Source organism: Homo sapiens, chromosome 11 (genome assembly GCF_000001405.40).
Source record: "Homo sapiens chromosome 11, GRCh38.p14 Primary Assembly".
Taxonomy (NCBI): Eukaryota; Metazoa; Chordata; class Mammalia; order Primates; family Hominidae; genus Homo; species Homo sapiens.
The window spans coordinates 34705000-34724695 of record NC_000011.10 but is presented as its reverse complement, the minus strand read 5'-3'; the positions used below and the strand labels follow the sequence as shown (position 1 = coordinate 34724695).

Genomic DNA, 19696 nt, shown 5'->3' with positions numbered 1-19696 from the left:
CTTCAAATTAAATAATTAACTCTTCAGCTAGGAGATATTAATTTTTATAAGAATATTGATTTTCATTACTGCATTTTTTATTTCTGGAAGTTCTATTTAATTATTATCCAAATCTGCCTAGTCACATTTTTCATCATATTTTCAATGTACAATTTCTATTCTGTATCTATGAGTCAAGTATTTTCAGCCTTTGTAGGCCTATTTTTCACTTATAGTGGTTTGTTTTCTCATATATATTTTGATTTTACTTATATGATCATTAAAACATTACCTATGGATATTCTTGTGGTTGGTTTTCAATGGCAATCCACTAGAGAGGGTTAGTGTTTGCTCCTGCCAGTAGTTGAAAGAACTAACTCAGGAACAACTAATATTTGGTTTGAGGTGTTTTGTAACAAACAGAGAATATGAATTAGAATCCAAGCCCATAGGAAGACTTACTTGTAGATATGAACCCCTGAGGAAAACAACTTTTCCCTCTATCCAGAGCCAAAGCTAGAAATGCCTCCTTCCTTGCCCCTCTTATTGGGTGTATCTTTTTCTCATAGATGATATTTCACTGAAGGAGCAGCCCTCTCGGGATCCTAATTTTATGTAAGAATCTCTCTCCCTACTTCCACTTTGAGCATTCTTCATCCCTTATCCCTTGTCTTCATTTGTTACAAATGCAGGTGTCAAAAACAAACAAGTAAACAAATATAGGTTATAGATTATTGGAGAAGTTGACAGACTTAGTGCTAACTTCTCTCCACGGTTTTATATTTCAACTTTGCATTTAGCATCTGATATGGTTTTACTGTGTCCCTACCCAAATCTCAACTTGAATTATATCTCCCAGAATTCCCACGTGTTGTGGGAGGGACCCAGGGGGAGGTAATTGAATCATGGGGGCTGGTCTTTCCCATGCTATTCTCCTGACAGTGAATTAAGTCTTATGAGATCTGATGGGTTTATCAGGGATTTCCAATTTTGCTTCTTCCTCATTTTTCTCTTGCCACCACCCTGTAAGAAGTGCGTTTTCCCTCCTGCCATGATTCTGAGGCCTCACCAGCCAGGTGGAACTGTAAGTCCAATTAAGCCTCTTTTTCTTTCCGGTCTAAGGTAGGTCTTTATCAGCAGTGTGAAAACAGACTAATACAGCATCTAAGAGAATCTCTTCTCTTGTAATAGCAGCTAATAGTTGCTTAGAAGAGTTTTATCTTATATTTTATCTGGCACTTATGTTTTTTCTTTTTTCTTCTTGCTTTTTTTTTCCAGAGGATTTTTTTACACTATCTAGTCTTTTATATTGCTGAAAATATAAATCCCCATAATGTCCTTTCCCCTCTTTTCCTTCTTGTAAAACCCCCACTTATCTTTAAATTCCTTGGTGAGATGTTGTCTCTTCTAGGGGACATTCACTGCCCTACTCCCTCCTGAAGCAGAATACATTAGTCCATTGTCTGTGTTCTCACATACTGGGAATGTGGCTTTAATAAAGATCTCTCACATTTTTTATTACAGTTATTTCTTTATCTGTTACCTCCTACTGTTCTGCAAGATCCAGTCAGAGTGTTTTAATTATCATTTTACATTCAGTGTTTAACAAAGTGCCTGGCAGAAAATAAACACATAAGTGGATATTTATTGGAGTTTGTAAAGGAAATGAATAAAACATCATTGTTTGCAAATGAGGTCCAAATTCATTTGAATTTCATTCAGGTACCTCCACATTCTAACTGCAACCCACTCTTTCAGCCTTATCAATCAATTAATGCATTGTTAATTAACATATATGTTATTTATTAACTCATTCATTCATACATTTATTTATTATCCAAAGTTGTTTGTTTTGTTTTTTTTTTTTTTGAGGCGGAGTCTCGCTCTGTCTCCCAGACTGGAGTGCAGTGGCACAATCTCGGCTCACTGCAAGCTCCGCCTCCCGGGTTCACGCCATTCTCCTGCCTCAGCCTCCTGAGTAGCTGGGACTACAGGCGCCCGCCACCACGCCCAGCTAATTTTTTGTATTTTTAGTAGAGATGGGGTTTCACCGTGTTAGCCAGGCTGGTCTCGATCTCCTGACCTTGTGATCCGCCCATCTCAGCCTCCCAAAGTGCTGGGATTACAGGCGTAAGCCACTGCGCCCAGCCTATTATCCAAAGTTTTTTTTAGAATGCCTATGTTGTGCAAATTTCCATGTTGAGTAGTTGGAATATCGCCATGAACAAGGTGAATATAATCTTGCTCTTCATGGAATGTACATATTAGCAAAGGGGGACAAATGTTAACAAGTTATTGCATTATTAATTATTTAATTACATTGTGATAAGTATCATGAAGGAGAGATAGAAGCCCTGTGAGACACTTGGCAAACTTTTGTGGTGCATGGGTGGGAAGAGCATCTCAGCAAATAGAATAGCTTATAGGAAGGCCCCTGAGGCCAGAGCTAGCACAGGGAACTCACCCACTCCTTCCACTCACTCTGCTACAGCAGCACTGAACTAATCATTATCCCCTGAACAGAGCCACAGTGATGCCTAGGCTCAACTGTTCCCTCTGTGTGATTTCTCCTTATCACTCGCCTATCCCCAACACCTCTATCTGTCAAAATGTCAAGAACTTGTTTCTTTCCCAGAGGTTTTGTCCATGGAGGCTCCCTTGGTCTGGAATTTACTTTACTGCCCTTTGCATTTTTATTTTAGCGTATATCTCTTCATTGTCTATGTTTGTGAGCTACATGAGGGCAAGTGATATGTTGTGTTCAGCTTGGCAAGATCCTGCCATGTGGAATCCCAGTTTAACCACAATTTACTTCTGTGGCAAAGTTACAACCAGATTGTGCCAGACTGGAAACTACAATGACATCAGAAAAAACTTCAAACTTGTTTACCAAGAGTTTTAGAAAAATCAGCATTGCAAAACCACAAATTCATGGGGTTTCTGACAGGTAGCCAAGACCCAGGACCTTTTTGAGCTTCCTTTGCACTGTCAACCCACCGACTAGGCATGAAATAAAAAGCCCTGAGCTATGTAACTTGATTTGTCCATGTTGAATAATGCCAACTGTCCACATCTGCAGGCAGGGAGTCAGTGTGGTATGGTTAACCTTTTTCTTGCTCCTTCCATAAGGAATGAATTCCAAGGAATATCTGCCCCCAAACCATGCCAGGTTGCAAGACAAGGTATCTAGAGTTGGGGGATACTCAGGTGAGCTCAGAGTAAGAGTTAAAATAAAGGTCCACATTCCATATCTCTAAATACCTGTATTTAAAATGTATAAATTAAGCTCACATACTATTAAATACAATTGTTCTACCCCCTACCTTGACAAATACACACTGAAAACAACAGAGAAGGGCGGGTTACAATTTGGAATTCTCTAGCATCTTGCAACATGGAGGCTCAGGAAGAACCATCCCCTACCATGCTCCAGGAATTCTCCCTCCTCTCTTCCTACCCCTGGCTTCATCCTGCACCAAGAATGTCTCGCATGCACACATGTGTAAATATCCTAGCCCACACATCCAAGCTGCATCATACCTCTGAAAAACTGATGCCCCTTGGCTACCTCTCCCAGAGATGCAGGAGATTCATCCTCAGGAGAATAGACCCAGAGAAGAGGTCTCTGTAGGCCCTTGAAGCATGTTCAAGGCTATTTGAGCAGGGAACTATTGGGTCTGGAAGCATGGCCTTGAAGGAAGGATATGAGCTCCTGGTGAGTCCTTTCCTTTGGTTTCATGGACCCTTCACCTTACAGGGAGAGTCATAGCCAGAGAAAGGCCAGAGTGGAGCCTTCAGGAGGGGTGCAGTCAGCAGCCAGTAGGGATCATACTTGAGCAGATAGTCTGCTAGAAGTTGCTTCATCTTCCAAATGGTCCCTAAAGTTATGTCCCTAATAGCACAAACAGTGCTATTCACTCTACTTAAGGACGTTGAGGTCTTCTATTTTCCGTAGGATAAAATCTAACATATTTTAAAATTCCCTCACAATCTTATTCAAACTACTCTCTGTAGTCTTATCTGCCATAATCCAGAATATCCTCTACCTTTTACTGGTCAAACTGAATTACTTGTGAAAATTTTATGTAATCATCCATAAAATTTCTAATTATGAAATCCAGAGGTCTTTCTGAATACATCAAAAGCCAAAAAATGAGTTTTTGACCCAGAAATTCCATTTTTAGAAATTTATCCTAAGGAAATAGTTAAGGATGTGAGTAAAGATTTTGCTAACAGGATGTTCAATACAGTGTTGCTTAAAATACTTTTATTGACATGAAGGGAAAAAAGAGCCTTTGCTCTGGTAGTTTCTTTTTTCTAGAATATTATTACTGCCTGGAGAATGTTATCTCTACATGAAGAAAACATGACATAACTTTCACTTGACCAAATAAGAGTACTGTTAATGACTTCCACCTCAGTGTTTCCACAGTACTTTTTTCAAATTTCCATTTTCTTACCCATCATGGGAGTAACTGGCTGTATATATGTCTTTTTCTTTTTTTCTAGGGTGGGCGCTTCTCTGGGCAGAGGCCTCTTATGCATCTTTATCTCACCCTCATTCTCAGCTGATGATCTTTCTTTCTATTTCACAAGGAAAATAGAAGCATTTGGAAGAGAGTTCCTGCATGTTCCCATCACCTCCGGCCACCTGCATCTGAACTTATATATCTTTCCTTCCCTCTTGCTCTTCTCCATATTTTTATACAAGGCCAATGCTCCATTTATACTTTAGATCTCTGCCCTCACCACTCAAGAACTTCACTCAACAATTCTCCCCTCTCTCTTCTACATTATGAAATTCGACCACTCTATTGGATATTGCCATAAATATACAAATATATTGTCTTATATTCTTTTTTAAAAAACTCTCTCCTGGACCTGCATTCCTATCTAGTCTAGTCACTGGCACATGCTCTTCTTTACAATATAATCTATTCTAGCTGTCTCTTAAGTCTAAGTTCTGTCTTGGAGGCTTTTGTCCCATACCAAGGTTACCAATGACCTCCACATCACTAAATCCAGTGGTCAATTCTTATCATCTTACTTGTCCCACGGCAGTGTTTGACATGATTGATCACTCTGTCCTAGGCAAAACAATTTCTTCTAGAACATCACATTTGCCTGGTCAGTCTTTCCCAGGCTCCTTTCCTGGTTCTTTCTTATCAGCCCCATGCTTTCAATGGTTGAACAGCCAGGGCTTTATCCTCAGACTACTTTATTTACACTCATGCCTTCCTGAAGTGATCTCATCCAGTTTTATAACTTTCATGTCATCTTTCTGCCAACAACTCCTAAATTTGTATTGGTAGCTCAGACTTTGCCTCTGATCCCAGTCTTGTATACCCACCTGCCTACTTAACATCTGCATTTGAATGTCTAATAGGCATCTATCTCATTCATGTCCAAACCTGAGCTCCTTTCTTTTTCCCAACCTGCACTCACATCTTCCCCAGCTCAGGTACTGGCAACTTCATCCTTTTATTTTCTCAGGCCAAAATCTTTATCATGCCAGTCTCCTCTTTTTTTTTCATATATCACTACAAATTACATATATCTTCAAAATATATCCAGAGTCTGGTGACATGTCTAATCATTTATCATCACCTTCACTGTGATGAACCACTAGCTCTTGTGGTTCAAGCCAACATCATCTCTCACTTGGATTATTATAATGGTGACCTTCTTGCTTCTGCTCTTGGACCCTGCATTTCCTCACTCCCACCACCACCCATCTTTATCAACTGAGCTGCCAAAGTCAACTTCTTAAAACCTTATATTATAAATAGGGTTTATAAAACAGAGCTTTGTATCTCATTTAGAGTGAAAGCCAGAGCCTTCACAATGGCCTGCAGGCCCTGTTTGATGGGCTCTATCACCTCTCTGCCTTCATTCCTCCTTACCCTGTCTCTCTCCTGTTCTGCTCCAGCCACATTGGCCTTCTTTTAATTGAATCCATCAAGGGGGCTCTTGCCTCAGAGCCTGTGCTCCTGCTAATTCCTTTGCCTTAAACATTCCCCAGATAACCTTGTGGCTTGCTTCTTCACTCCTACAGACAGTTGTTCAGATGTCATTCTATAATTGAGGCCTTTCCTAATAGTCCACATGAAATAGTAGCCTCCACAGATATACACACCACCTTTCTCTGTAACTCTCATTCTTTTTTCCTTGCTTTATTTTTTCCTCCATAGCATTTACCACCATTGGACATGTTGTATATTTCCTTTTAAAAAATCAGTTTCCTATCTGTCTCTCCCAAATAAAATGTTAACTCCACAAGGGCAGGGCTTTGCCTGTTTCATTCACTGTTTTATTCTTGTTATCCTGAATGGTGCTTGGCATATAGTAAACATTCAATAAATATTCATTGAATGAATAACTGGTGTGTAGGACATCATACACCATCAGGTAAGTTTGAGTGTACAGAAAGTAGAAATAATTTTACAGTGTATGCCCCATACATTCAACACTTAGATTCTATCCTAAACATCTTACATCTTACCATATTTGTTTTAACATATATTTATCCATCTATCCATACTTATAGTCATCCATCAGTCTCTCTTTTTTGACACATGTCAAAGTAAATTAACTACTGTTCACTTTCATCAAAATAATTCAGCGTGCATATCATTAACTATAGTTCTGTATTTATTTACAGTATTTTCTCTTGAAAGAAAAGTTGACATATAACAAAATGCCCAAATCTCAAAAGTACATTCACTACATTTTAGCAGATGCATACACATGTTTAATTGAAATACCTATCAACATGGAAAGTGCTGCATTCACTCCAGAAAGTTCCTCCGATCTCTTCCCATTCACTCCAGCCACTGAACCCCTTGCCATGTTTCTGATATTTTTCACCTTAGCTTGAATTTACCTAATTTACCTAAATGAACCCTGTAGAAGTTCATATAAATGAAATCATACAGTATGTACTCTTTTCACACAGCATCTTTTTGAAGTTCAACTAAGTTGTTGCATGTAGCAGTTGTTTGTTACTTTTGATAATAGAGTAATATGAATGTAGTATTTCATAACGTGATTATAGGTCAGTTTCTTTATCTATTTTCCTATTGACAGACACCTGGGCTGTCTCTAATATTTAGCTATTAAGCTGCTATGAACACTGTTGTATAAGTATTTTTGGGGGCGCTTCGCATAGAAGTTCAGTAATTCCAGCACCATCTATTTAAAATAAAGTTCTTTCCCATGGGCAATTGGATTGCTTTGGTACCTTTGCTGAAAAATAAGATAACTGCATAATTGGAAGTCTGTTTCTGGGCTCTTTATTTTGTTCCATTGATCTATTTGTTGATTCTATAATGAGGTTGAATGGTGTTACCCCCAAAACATATGTTGAAGTCCTAACCTAAACTCTAACACCTCAGAATGTGACCTTATTTGAGAATAGGGTTGTTGCAGATTTTATAAGTTAAGATGAAGTCATACTGGGGTAGGGTGGCCCCTCATTTAATATAACTGGCATCTTTATAAAAAGATGGCATGTGAAGACAGAGACACACAGAAAACAGCCATGTGATGAAGAGGCAGATAGCAGAGTGATGCATCTACAAGCCAAGGAACACCAAAGACTGCCAAAAACTACCAGAAGCTAAGAAGAGGTAGGAAAGAATTTCTCCTTTAGAGCCATCAGAAGGAGCGGGGCCTTGCTGACACCTTGATTTCAACTTCCAGCCTCTAGAACTGTGAGACAATAAAGTTCTGTTGTAAAAAACGCCCAGTTTGTTTTGTGGTACTTCGTTACATACTCCTAGAAAATTAGTAAAATCCTTATCCACATACCATAGTCTTAATTACTGTAGCTTTACAATAAGGCTTCAAACTTTGCATAGGTCCTACAAGGTTGATTTTTTCTATGATTGTTTTGGACATTCTAAGTCATTTGCATTTCCATATATATTTTAGAATCACCTTGTCAATTTCTACAGGAAAGCCTGCTTAGATTGAGACTGGAATTGCATTGAATCTATAGGTTACTTGGGGAAAATAAAATCTTAATAATTAAATTTTTTCAATCTATGAACATAGTATATTTCTCCACTTACTTAATTCTTCTTCTATTTCTCGCATCAGTGTTATAGTTTTCAATGTAGAAATCCTACACATATTCTAGTCTAATTATAAAAATGTTATGTTTGTTAATGAAGTTGTTCATAAAATTGTATCTAAATTTTTGTTTTCTAATTATTTCCTTCTGATTTATCAAATATAATTGATTTTTGTATACTATTAACCTTTCATCTTGTGACTTTGCTAAGTTTACATATTAATTACAATGGTCATTTTATAGATTTCTTAGGATTTCCTATGTAAAAATGCTTCATCTGAAATGCAGTCTTAATTATTCTTTTTTACTGTTTATGACTTTTATTTATTTTAAATACATATATTATCATTATATGAGGTCTGGATAGTAGAATTCATTCTCTCAGTGTTATGTGGGATCTTTAAAACGGTGACTTCTTATGTGTTTACTTGCCTTTGCTAACATCTTGAGATTCTTCTCGGGCAGGCAGGAGCTTTTCTCTCCTTGGTATTTCACATAACTTTCCTTGAGCTGCCTTGTTGCTGCCTCATTTTGCTTCTATTTAAATTAGAGGATCATAGTGAAAATTCTCAGAAATATACCTGCTCGCATTCTTTCTCCAGCATTGATTATTCAGGGAAGTGGTGAGATTAAGGAAGATGATGCTGAGTTGTCGTAGGATTTTCTCTTTCTTTTCTTGTTGCTATCTTTTAATTTTTTGACATGATATTATACTCTTTCTTTGTATAACTGATAAATTTTTATGCTTCTTTCAAAACTCCTTTTCTTTATTTTGTGAGGTATTTGAGGGAGGATGTTCTTGTGATATGGCTTAATTTTTCTACCTTTATCAAGAATTTTCACGCTTAATCTTTAGAGCCAAGACCTCAAATGCAAATGCTAAAGAGACTAAAACACAACATAAATGAATGAAATTAGCTGGGTGGAAACTGTGGAAAATGGAGATCACAGAGTTTGTCTAGAAAAAGACATCACTACACGGCTCCTGTGAAATGTTGCCATGTTGGAATGTGGCCAAGGCTTAACGATTTTTGAAGAGAAGCTGGAAATTAGATTTTTAAAATGTGATGTTAAATGTCTCTATTTTTAAGAATTGGTGACTAGTTTAAATTTTAAAAATATACTGAAGGCAAAAATAAATATCTACAGACTGGATAGAGTGGGCAGGCTATCAGTTTCCTTTGGAGAATCACTTCATAGAGGGTTTAGTTAGTCCTTTGGTGCTATTGTAAGGTAGAATGGCATTTTAACCTAGATAGAAAATTCTGATGCAGTTCCACAACAACAACAACAACAACAACAAAACCGGTAAAGTCAATCAGAGAACAGTGATCTAGGGTTTAGTATTGTAAAAGGAGACAGAATCTGTACTTTAAAACATCATATCTCCCTAATTCTCCAGTATTACCTGCCTTGGATGGCTGTAAAGGCGGGATTTAAAGCCCATTCTTTTCCTCTTTTGTGGTTGACACAGTCATATTATCCGTCAGAATTGGTTCAGGAGAATTGCAGATAGAGAAGAGAAAACATTTTCTCCAAGCCTGGATCCAGGGAAACCCATTGACTTACTGAGACTAGTACACACTCTGCAAAAGGATCAAGAGAAAATGAATGGTAGTAAATAGGTGTTTGCACATTCGGCTCTGCTACTTATCCATATAGTCAACCCTTATGTATATTTAACTTCTCATCTGTTCATTCATTTCATCCACCAATCTCTCCACCCACCTTAGACCCCATTAATATAAAATTGAAAACTTTTGAGTGGTTCCCAACCCTGATCATGCATCTGAATAAGCTAAGAAACTTTTTAAAATAAGACATACAAGACTTACACTTCTGAGCATGGATAATTTACTCTCCCACTGTAAATAACTAGAAAACTGTACCATATATATGAGATCATTGGTTTCAGATCTTTGGCAGCAGACAGTGCATAAATGTAATACCTGAGAGAAGAGAAACAAAAAAGATGATTCCTATGAGTGTCCTGTCTTTCTTGAAAAACATTCTAGACTACAACACAGGGAAGGAGATCATGATAAGTATGCAGTGGTCTTGATGAGTTTTTGATACTGGAGTTCAATAAAGCTGAGGTGGTTGGAAGTTTTGTGCTAGAGTTCTGAAGAGAAGAAAGCTTTACAGAAAAAGAGCTACAAAAATATGAACAGATATCTGTATTAGTCTGTTCTCACACTGCCATAAAGACATACCTGAGACTGGGTAATTTATGAAGAAAAGAGGTTTAATCAACTCACGGTTTTACAGCCTCTACAGAAAGCATGGCTGGGGAGGCCTTAGGAAACTTACAATCATAGCAGAAGGTAAAGGAGAAGCAAACGGATCTTACGTGGTGGACAGGAGGTGGGGGTAGGTGGGGAAATGCCACACACTTCTCAAACAACCAATCGCATGACAAATCAATCATAAGGCACAACAAAGAATAAGTCTGCTTCCATGATTCAATTACCTCCCACCAGGCCCCTCATCCATCACTGGGAACCACAAATTGACATGAGACTTGCGTGGGGACACAGAGCCAAATTATATCATCCTGTCCTGGCTCTTCCCAAATCTCATGTCCTTTTCACATTTCAAAACATAATCATGCCTTCCCAACAGTCCCCCAAAGTCTTAACTCATTATACCATTAACTCAAAAGTCCAAGTCCAAAGTCTCATTTGAGACAAGGCAAGTCCCTTCTGCCTATAAGCCTATAAAATAAAAAACAAGTTAGTTACTTTCAAGATAAAATGTGAGTACAGGCATTGGGTAAATACTCCCTTTCCAAAAGGAAGAAATTGGCCAAAACCAAGGGGCTAAAGGTCAGATGCAAGTCCAAAGCCCAGCAGGGCAGTTGTTAAATCTTAAAGCTCCAAAATAATTTCCTTTGACTCCATGTCTCACATCCAGGCCACACTGATGCAAGGGGTGGACTCCCAAGGCCTTGGACAGCTCTGCCCCTGTGGTTCTGCAAGGCTCAGCTCCCATGGCTGCTCTCAAGGGCTGGCATTGAGTGCCTGCAACTTTTCCAGGCTCACGGTGCAAGCTGTTTGCAAGTGGATCTACCATTCTGGGTTCTGGAGGATGGTAGTCTTCTTCTCACAGCTCCACTAGGCAGTGCCCCAGTGGGGATTATGTATGGGGGCTCCAACCTCACATTTGCCCTCCTCACTGTTCTAATAGAGGTTCTCCATTTGGGCTCTGCCCCTGCAGCAGAATTCTGCCTGGACATCTAGGTGTTTCCATACATCCTCTGAAATTAAGGCAGAGGTCTCAAGTCTCCACTGTTGCCCTCTGTGCACCCACAGGCCCAACACCATGTGGAAGCTGCCAAAGCTTGGAGTTTACACACTCTGAAGCAAGGGTCTGAGCTGTACCTTAGCTCCTTTTAGCCATGACTGGAGCTGGAGCAGCTGAGACAAAAGGAGCCATGTTCTGAGGTTGCACAGAGCAGCAGGGCCCCAGGAACAGCCCATGAAACTATTTTTCCCTCCTACACCTCCAGGTCTGTGATGGGAGGGCCTGCTGTGAAGGTCTCTGAAATGCCCTAGAGGCATTTTCCCCATTGTCCTGGCTATTAATATTTGGCTCCTCCTCTTTACTTATGCAAATTTATGTAGCTGGCTTGAATTTCTCCACAGAAAATGGGATTTTCTTTTCTACCGCATAGTCAGGCTGCACGTTTTCCAAACTTTTATGCTCTGCTTCACTTTTAAATATAAGTTCCAATTTAAGAGCATCTCTTTGTGAATGCATATAAGCATATGTTGTTAGAAGCAGCCAGGTCACATTATTGAACTCTTTGCTGCTTAGAAATTTTTTCTGCTAGATACCCTAAATCGTCTCTCTCAAGTTCAAAGTTCCACAGATCCCTAGAGCAGTGGCACAATGCTGCCCATCTCTTTGCTAAAGCATAGCATGAACGACCTTTACTTTATTTCCCAGGAAGTTTCTCATTTCCATCTGAGACCTCATCAGCCTGGACTTCAATATCCATATCACTATTAGCATTTTGGTCAAAACCATTCAACAAATCTCTAGGAAGTTCCAAACTTTCCCTCATCTTCCTGTCTTCTTCTCAGCCCTCCGAACTGTTCCAATCTCTGTCTGTTACCCAGTTCCAAAGTCATTTCCATATTTTCAGGTATCTTTATAGCAATGCCCCACTACTCAATATCAGTTTTCTATATTAGTCCATTATCACACTGCTATAAAGACATACCAGAGCTTGGGTAATTTATGAAGAAAATAAGTTTAATTGACCCATGATCCACAAGTTGTACAGGAAGCATGGCTGGAGAAGCCTTAAGAAACTTACAATCATAGCAAAAGGTGAAAGGGAAGCAAGCATGTCTTACATGGTGGGCAGGAAAGAGAGAGAGAGAGAAGGGGGAAGTCCCACACACTTTTCAAACAACCAGATCTCATGAGAACTCTATCACAAGAACAGCAAGGGGTAAGTTCACCCCCACAATTAAATCACCTCCCACTCGGCCCCTCCTTCAACACTGACAACCACAGCTTGACATGAGATTTGGGTGGGGACACAAAGCCAAACCATATCAACACTCTCTTGACTATTCCTGAATACTAGGATTCACATGCATAGAGTTAAACTTCTTGAGTTGGGTCAAAGAGTAAGTAAGAATCTATGAGAAGAATGGTTCCCAGAGCTTACATATACAGAGGAAGGGTTCCACCTTCAAACAGAGTAGAGAATTCTCACTGATCACTTTTTACATTCAGTAAAGATCCCCAAAAACTTATTAATGAAGCTACAACTTATTTGAAATTAAATGATTCTTAAAATAAAGGCTATGCTAGATCCACCTTAATAAGCTTAAAAACAAAGCTGAAAAAGATAACACTGAATCACAAGAAACCTAACTCCCTATCAGAAGAAAACCTTACTCATTAAAGTAAAGAAAAACAACAAAATCCAGATATTGGACAACACATAAATCATATTATCCAGTAAAAATGTCTTAGACATTGCAAGCAGGAAAATGTGATCCATAACCAAGAGAAAAATCAGTTAACAGAAACAGACCATAAATGACAAAAATGATATAATTAGCAGAAAAGAACATTAAAACCACTATTTTAACTATGTTCGGATATTTAAAGGAAAACATAAAATAGTGAAAGAGGAATGTAAAATATTTTTTAAATCAAATAAAAATTTTAGAAATAAAAACAATATCTGAAATAGAAAATTCATTGGATAAGATTAACAGCAGATTAGACACTTCATAAGAAAATATTAGTGAGCTAGAAGATGGAACAATAGAAACTCTTCACAGTGAATCTTACAGAGAGTAAATATTGAAAAGAAATAAAGTCTCGGTAACATGTGGGACAATATTAAGTGGTCTAATATTTAAGTAATTGGAGTCCTATAAAGAGAAGAAACGGTAAATTTTTTTTCAAGAAATATGGCCAAAATATTTACAAATGCAATAAATCTCAGATCCAAATACTTCAATGAAACCCAGAAAGACAAGCACAAACAATACAAGACAAAGACATGTGGTACTCAAATTGCTGAACACTAAAGATGATCTGAAAAATCTTTAAAATATGTATACATACTATATGCAAAGAAACAAAGATCAGAGTGATAGTAACCTTTTTGTTAGAATCTAGGCAAGTGAGAAGAGAAAATAGCATTTTTAAACTCTGAAAAACTTTTGATAACCTAAAATTCTAAGCCCAGCAAAAACATCTGTCACATATGGAGATAAAGTAAATATATTTCAGTCAAAGCACAGCTGGTAAGACTTACCACCATTACATCTTCATTATAAGAATTGATATAGAAGTTCTTTGAGAGGAAGAACACTAATACAATAAATAAATTTGGATATAAATTAAGAAATAAAGAGAACTGAAAATATTAAACATGTAAGGCAATAAAATACTTATACTCTATTTTTTTATTTTGTTAAAAAACAGCTGTCTGTTTAATGCCAAGGTAATATCAATGTGTTGTGGATTTTACAACAAACAAAAATAAATTCTATGACAATAACAAAGAACAGTAGGAAAGAATTTGCAGATTATTATTGCACATTTTACATTAAGCACTGAAAGTATAAATAAAAGTTAAAACAGGAATAAATAGTAAGATAAAACTAAAGACAAATTTAAATAAAAAAATTAATTAAAAGAAGATAGGACATGAGAAAAAGAAAAGAGCAACAATGAATACATGGCATGAATGTAAAACAAATCATAAGATAATAGACCTAACAACTATCAAATTAATAATTGCATTAAATGTAGGTGGTCTAAACACTGCATTTAAAAGGCAGAGATTTTCAGAATGAATAAGAAAGTAAGAAAAAACTATGTATGTACATATACATGTATATATTTTTTCCTATGGCACTAAGTTTTGTTAAAGATTTCATTCAAGTTAAATTTCTAGGAATTAAGGAGTCCTAGGTAGAGGGCACAAAAGCTTATGAAGCCCTTAGATCTCATAGTGAAACACTAGCTCAGGTTCTTTGGTGGATCACTGTCTTGTCCCAAGTACAGATTATTAAAAGGATACTGCTTTGGCCCCACAGGCTGGTAGGTAGAATAATTCTCCACTACATAGAACATAAAGTTCATGAAGGTCAGGAAGCTGAAGAGATTATTGAACATGATATTCCAAGAAACAGGGGTGGAGGGCCATATCCACATGGTTCCTGATATACTTGTCCAGATGCCAGTGTATCAGTTCACCCCAGTTCAACCTCAAGTCTTGGTGGTCCCAGTCAAACCACAGATCCCTCTCCTACTGTGAATGGTCAAAGAACTTTGAGTAGTTACCATACTCCATGCCATCATCCAAGTAAGGCTGATAGTCTTCCACACACATATTATACTTCTTGGCAGCGGTGGCCCATTCTTCTGGGGTCTTGGAATAGAACCCCAGGGGCATGTCCTTGATCATGTGGAAGGATGGCCATGCACTCAATGACACCACATTCTGGGTTGCCCTTTGTAGCCACTAGATTCCCAGGACCCCTGCCCTGGCTACTTCCAACTTCACCCAAAATTATATTAGGTCTAAAAGTAACCTAGGTCAAATAAAAAAACACAGGGCTAGTCACGGTGGCTCACGTCCGTAATCCCAGCACTTTGGGAGGCCAAGGCAGGCATATCACCTGAGGTCAGGAGTTTGAGACCAATCTGGCCAACATGGTGAAACCACATCTCTACTAAAAATACAAAAATTAGCCAGGCATGGTGGTGTATGCTTGTAATCCCAGCTACTCGGGAGGCTCAGTCAGGAGAATCACTTGAACCCAGGAGTCAGAGGTTGCAGTGAGCCAAGATCGTGCCATTATACTCCAGCCTGGGCAACAAGAGTGAGAATCTGTCCAAAAAAAAAAAAGGCAGGTAAATTAAAATAAAAGGATAAAAAAATACATCATGAAACATTAGTCAAAGATGTCCAGAATGACTATATTATAATCAAACAAAGCAGACTTTAAAATAAGGAATATTACCAGAAACAAGAAGAGACATTTCATAGTGATAAAAGGGTCAATTTATCAAGAATAAAAATCTTAATTTTAGTGAATACATCTAATAAAAGTTTCAAATACAGGATGCAAAACCTATATTTGAAACTAAAAATAAAAGAAATTGACAAATCAACAAATATAGCTGGAAACACTAGCATTACTCTCACAATAATTGATAACAAAAATAGATATATCAGTAAAGATATAGATGACTTTTAAAAGGCTATTAACCAAACCTGTCCTAATTGACATTTATAGAACTACACACAACAGCAGAATATGTATTCTTTTCCATTGTTCATAAAACATTCACCAGGACAAACCATATTTTGAGATAGAAATCTGTTTCAATGAATTCACAAGCATTGAAATCATATGGAGTTGTTCTTTCAACAAGATGGAATGAAATTAGAAATTGATAACAAAGACATCTGCATAATGCCAACTTTGGAAACTGAACAGCATATGTAAATTAAACAATACATTTCTAAGCAATTAATGGGTCAAGTAAAAAATCATAAAGGCAGTTAGAAAACATTTTAACTGCATAAAAATGAAAACAAAATATGAAGACTTTAAAGCTGCAGCTAAAGTAGTAATAATAAGAAAATTTATATTATTAAATGTATACCTTAAAAGAAGAAAAATGTGAGATAGTTTATCTAAGCTTCTACCTTAGTAAGCTAGAGAAATAAAAGCAAACTAAACCCAAAATAACAAGAAAGAAGAAAATAATAAAAATAAGACAGAATTCAATGAGAAAAAATAGACAAACTATAGGGAAAATTGATTAAAACAAAGCTGTTCTTTGAAAAGAGTATTGAAGTTGACATATCTAGACTGATCAAGAACAAAGACAAAAGGTACAGATTATCAAGAAAATGAGCGGGCAAAGCAAGATGGCCAAACAGAAGCCTGCAACAATTATCCCCCCACCAAAGGAACACTAAATTTTAACAACTAACTACACACAAAAAAGCACTATCACAAAAAACAAAAATCAGGTGAGCAATCACAGTACCTGATTTTAACTTCATATTGCTGAAAGAGACATTGAAGAGGGTAGGAAAGACAGTCTTGAATTGCCTATGCCACTTCTCCTCCACTCCCTGGCAGTGGCCACATGGCATAGAGAAACAATCTGTGCACTTGAGGCAGGGCAAGCACAGTGACTAGGGGTCTTGGCATTGAACTCAGTGCTGCCCTGTCACAGCAGGGAGCAAAACCTTGCTTGGTTCAGCTGGCACCCACTCACAGAAGGAGCATGTGGACCAGCCCCAGCCAGAGGGAAATTGCCCATCCCAGTGGTTGGAACTTGAGTTTCAGCAAAACTTGCCACTGCAGGCTAAAGTGCTCTTGGGTTCTAGGTAAACTTGAAATGCAGTCTAGGACACAAGTACCGCAATTTCTAGGCGAGGCCTAGTGCTAAGGCTGGACTTACAGCCAGTAGACTAAGGCAGCACGTGACCTAGGAAGACACCAGCTGGGGCAGCTAAGGGTGTTGCTTGTGCCACCACTTGTGAAACCCAAGCTTGTGAAACCCAAGCAGTGCAGCTTGTAGCAATGATAGTAACTCCTTCCTTCTGCTTGAGGAGAGGAGAGTGAAGAGTAAAGTGGTATTTGTCTTGTGTCTTTGATACTAGCTCATCCACAATAGGATAGTGCACCAGGCAGAGTTGTCAGGCCCCTATTCCAGGCCCTAGTTCACAGACATTTCTAGACACAACCTGGGCCAGCAGGAAACTCACTGCCTTAAAGGGAAGAACTAATCCTGACAGAATTAATCACCTGCTGACTAAACAGGCTTTGGGCCCTGAGTAACGAATAAGAATACCCAAGTAGTACACCATGGGCCTTGGTTGAGACTCTGAGACATGCTGGCTACAGGTGTGACCCAGTATATTCCCAGCTGTGGTGGCTAGGGTGAAAGATCTTCTGCTTGAGAAAAGCAGAGTGCAAGTAAAGGAGACTTTGTCTTGAACTTTAGATAACAGCTCAGCCACAGTGGGGTAGAGCATGAAGCAGGCTCTTGGGGTTCCTGAGTCCAGGCCTAGACTCTTAGACAGAATTTCTGGACCTGCTCTGGGCCAGAAGGGAAGGACATAAGCCTGGCTGGCTTCCTCACTTGCTGACTGTAGGGCCCAAAGAAGGCCTTCAGTGAACATAGGCCATAGCCAGGTAGTGATTACAGCAGGCATTGGGCACGACTCAGTGCTATGCTGGCTTTAGGTCTGACTCAGCACAGCCCCAGTGGTGGTGGTCACAAAGGTCACAAAGGTTCACCCCAGCCCCAGTTGGCTTAGCACAGAGAGAGAGAGACTCCATTTCTTTGAGGGAAAGTAAGGGAAGAGAACAAGAGTCTCTGCCTGATAATCCAGAGAATTCTTCCAGCTCTTATCCAAAACCACCAAGGCGGTACCTGTACAAGTCTACAAGAACCACAGCAATTTGGGGCTTGGGGACCAAGTCTCTCTGAATAGCTGGAAAGCCTTCCCAAGAAAGATGGGCACAAATAAGCCCAGACTGTAAAGACTACAATGAATGCTTAACTCTTCAATGCACAGAAACTGATAAACATCCACAAGCATCAAGACTATACAGGAAAATAAGACCTTACCAAATGAACTAAATAAGGCACCAAAGAGCAATTCTGGAGAAAGAGAGCTATGTGACCTTTCAGAAAGAGTATTCAAAATAGCTGTTTTGAGGAAACTCAAAGAAATTCAAGATAACACGGATAAGAAATTCAAAATTCTAGCAAATAAATTTAACAAAGAGATTGAAATTGAATAATGAAAAAGAAATCAAGTAGAAATTCTAGAGTTGAAAAATGCAATTGACATTCTGAAGAATGCACCACAGTCTCTTAATAGAAGAGTTGATCAAACAGAAGAATGAGTGAGCTTGAAGACAGGCTATTTGAAAATACACAGTCAGAGGAAACAAAAGAAAAAGGAATGAAGTATACCTACAAGATCTAGAAAATTGACTCAAAAGGGAAAATCTAAGAGTTATTAGCCTTAAAGAGGAGGTACAAAAATATATAGGTGTAGAACGTTTATTCAAAGTAATACTGTCAGAAAACTTCCCAAACCTAGAGAAAGGTAACAAGGTTCAAGGACAAGAAGGTTATAGAACACCAAGCAGATTTAACCCAAAGAAGACTACCTCAAGGCATTTAATAATCAAACTCCCAAAGGTCAAGGATAAAGAAAAGTTCTTAAAAGCATCAAGAAAAAAAAAATTATACAATGGAGCTCTAATACATCTGGCAGCAGACTTCTCAGTGGAAACCTTGCAGACCAGGAGAGAGTGGCATGGCATATTTAAAGCGCTGAAGCAAAAAACGTTTTACCCTAGAATAGTATATCCAGCAAAAATATCCTTCAAGCATGAAAGAGAAATAAAGACTTTCCCAGAAAAACAAAAGCTGAGAGAGAAATACTAAAGGGAGTTCTTCAATCTGAAAGAAAAGAACATTAATGAACAATAATAAATAATCTGAAAGTACAAACCTCACTAGTAAGAGTAAGCACACGGAAAAACACAGAATATTATGACAATGTAATTGTGGTGTGTAAACTAAACCCTAAGTAGAAAGACTACACAACAAACCCATCAGAAATAATAACTATATCAACTTTTCAAGACATGGTACAATAAGACAAAGAGAAACAACAAAAAGTTAAGAAGTGGGAGACAAAGTTACAGGGTAGAGTTTTTATTAGTTTCCTTTTGTTTGTTTGTTTATGCAATCAGTGTTAATTTGTCATCTGCTTAAAATATATCATAGTATTTGCAAGCCTCACAGTAACCTCAAGTAAAAATCATGCAATGGATATTCAAAAAATAAGAAGCAAGAAATGAAAATATACCACCAATGAAAATCACCTTCACTGAAAGGAAAGCAGGATGGAAGAGAAGAAGGAAAAGACCACAAAGCAACCAGAAAACAAATAACAAAATGGCAAGCATAAGTCTTTACTTCTCAATAATAACATTGAATGTAAATGGACTAAAATATCAATAAAAAACTATGAAGTAGCTGGACGAATAAAAAGCAAGACCCAATGATCTGTTGCTACAAGAAAAATATTTCATCTATAAAGATACACATAGA

General features: G+C 38.0%; 1 long non-coding RNA gene and 1 pseudogene across 1 annotated transcript in view; both read right to left on the bottom strand.

Annotated features, from left to right (window-relative positions):
* LOC102723568 (uncharacterized) overlaps window positions 1-19696 on the bottom strand; it is a 185086-nt gene that overhangs the window by 152984 nt on the left and 12406 nt on the right. The window contains exons 2-3 of the long non-coding RNA XR_007062652.1: window positions 9889-10002; window positions 9462-9639 (exon numbers count right to left, since the gene is read on the bottom strand). This is a non-coding gene — a long non-coding RNA (uncharacterized LOC102723568). The remainder of the gene's footprint in view (window positions 1-9461; window positions 9640-9888; window positions 10003-19696) is intronic.
* The window catches only part of NDUFB8P3 (NADH:ubiquinone oxidoreductase subunit B8 pseudogene 3), a 36042-nt pseudogene continuing 30777 nt past the window's right edge, over window positions 14432-19696 (bottom strand).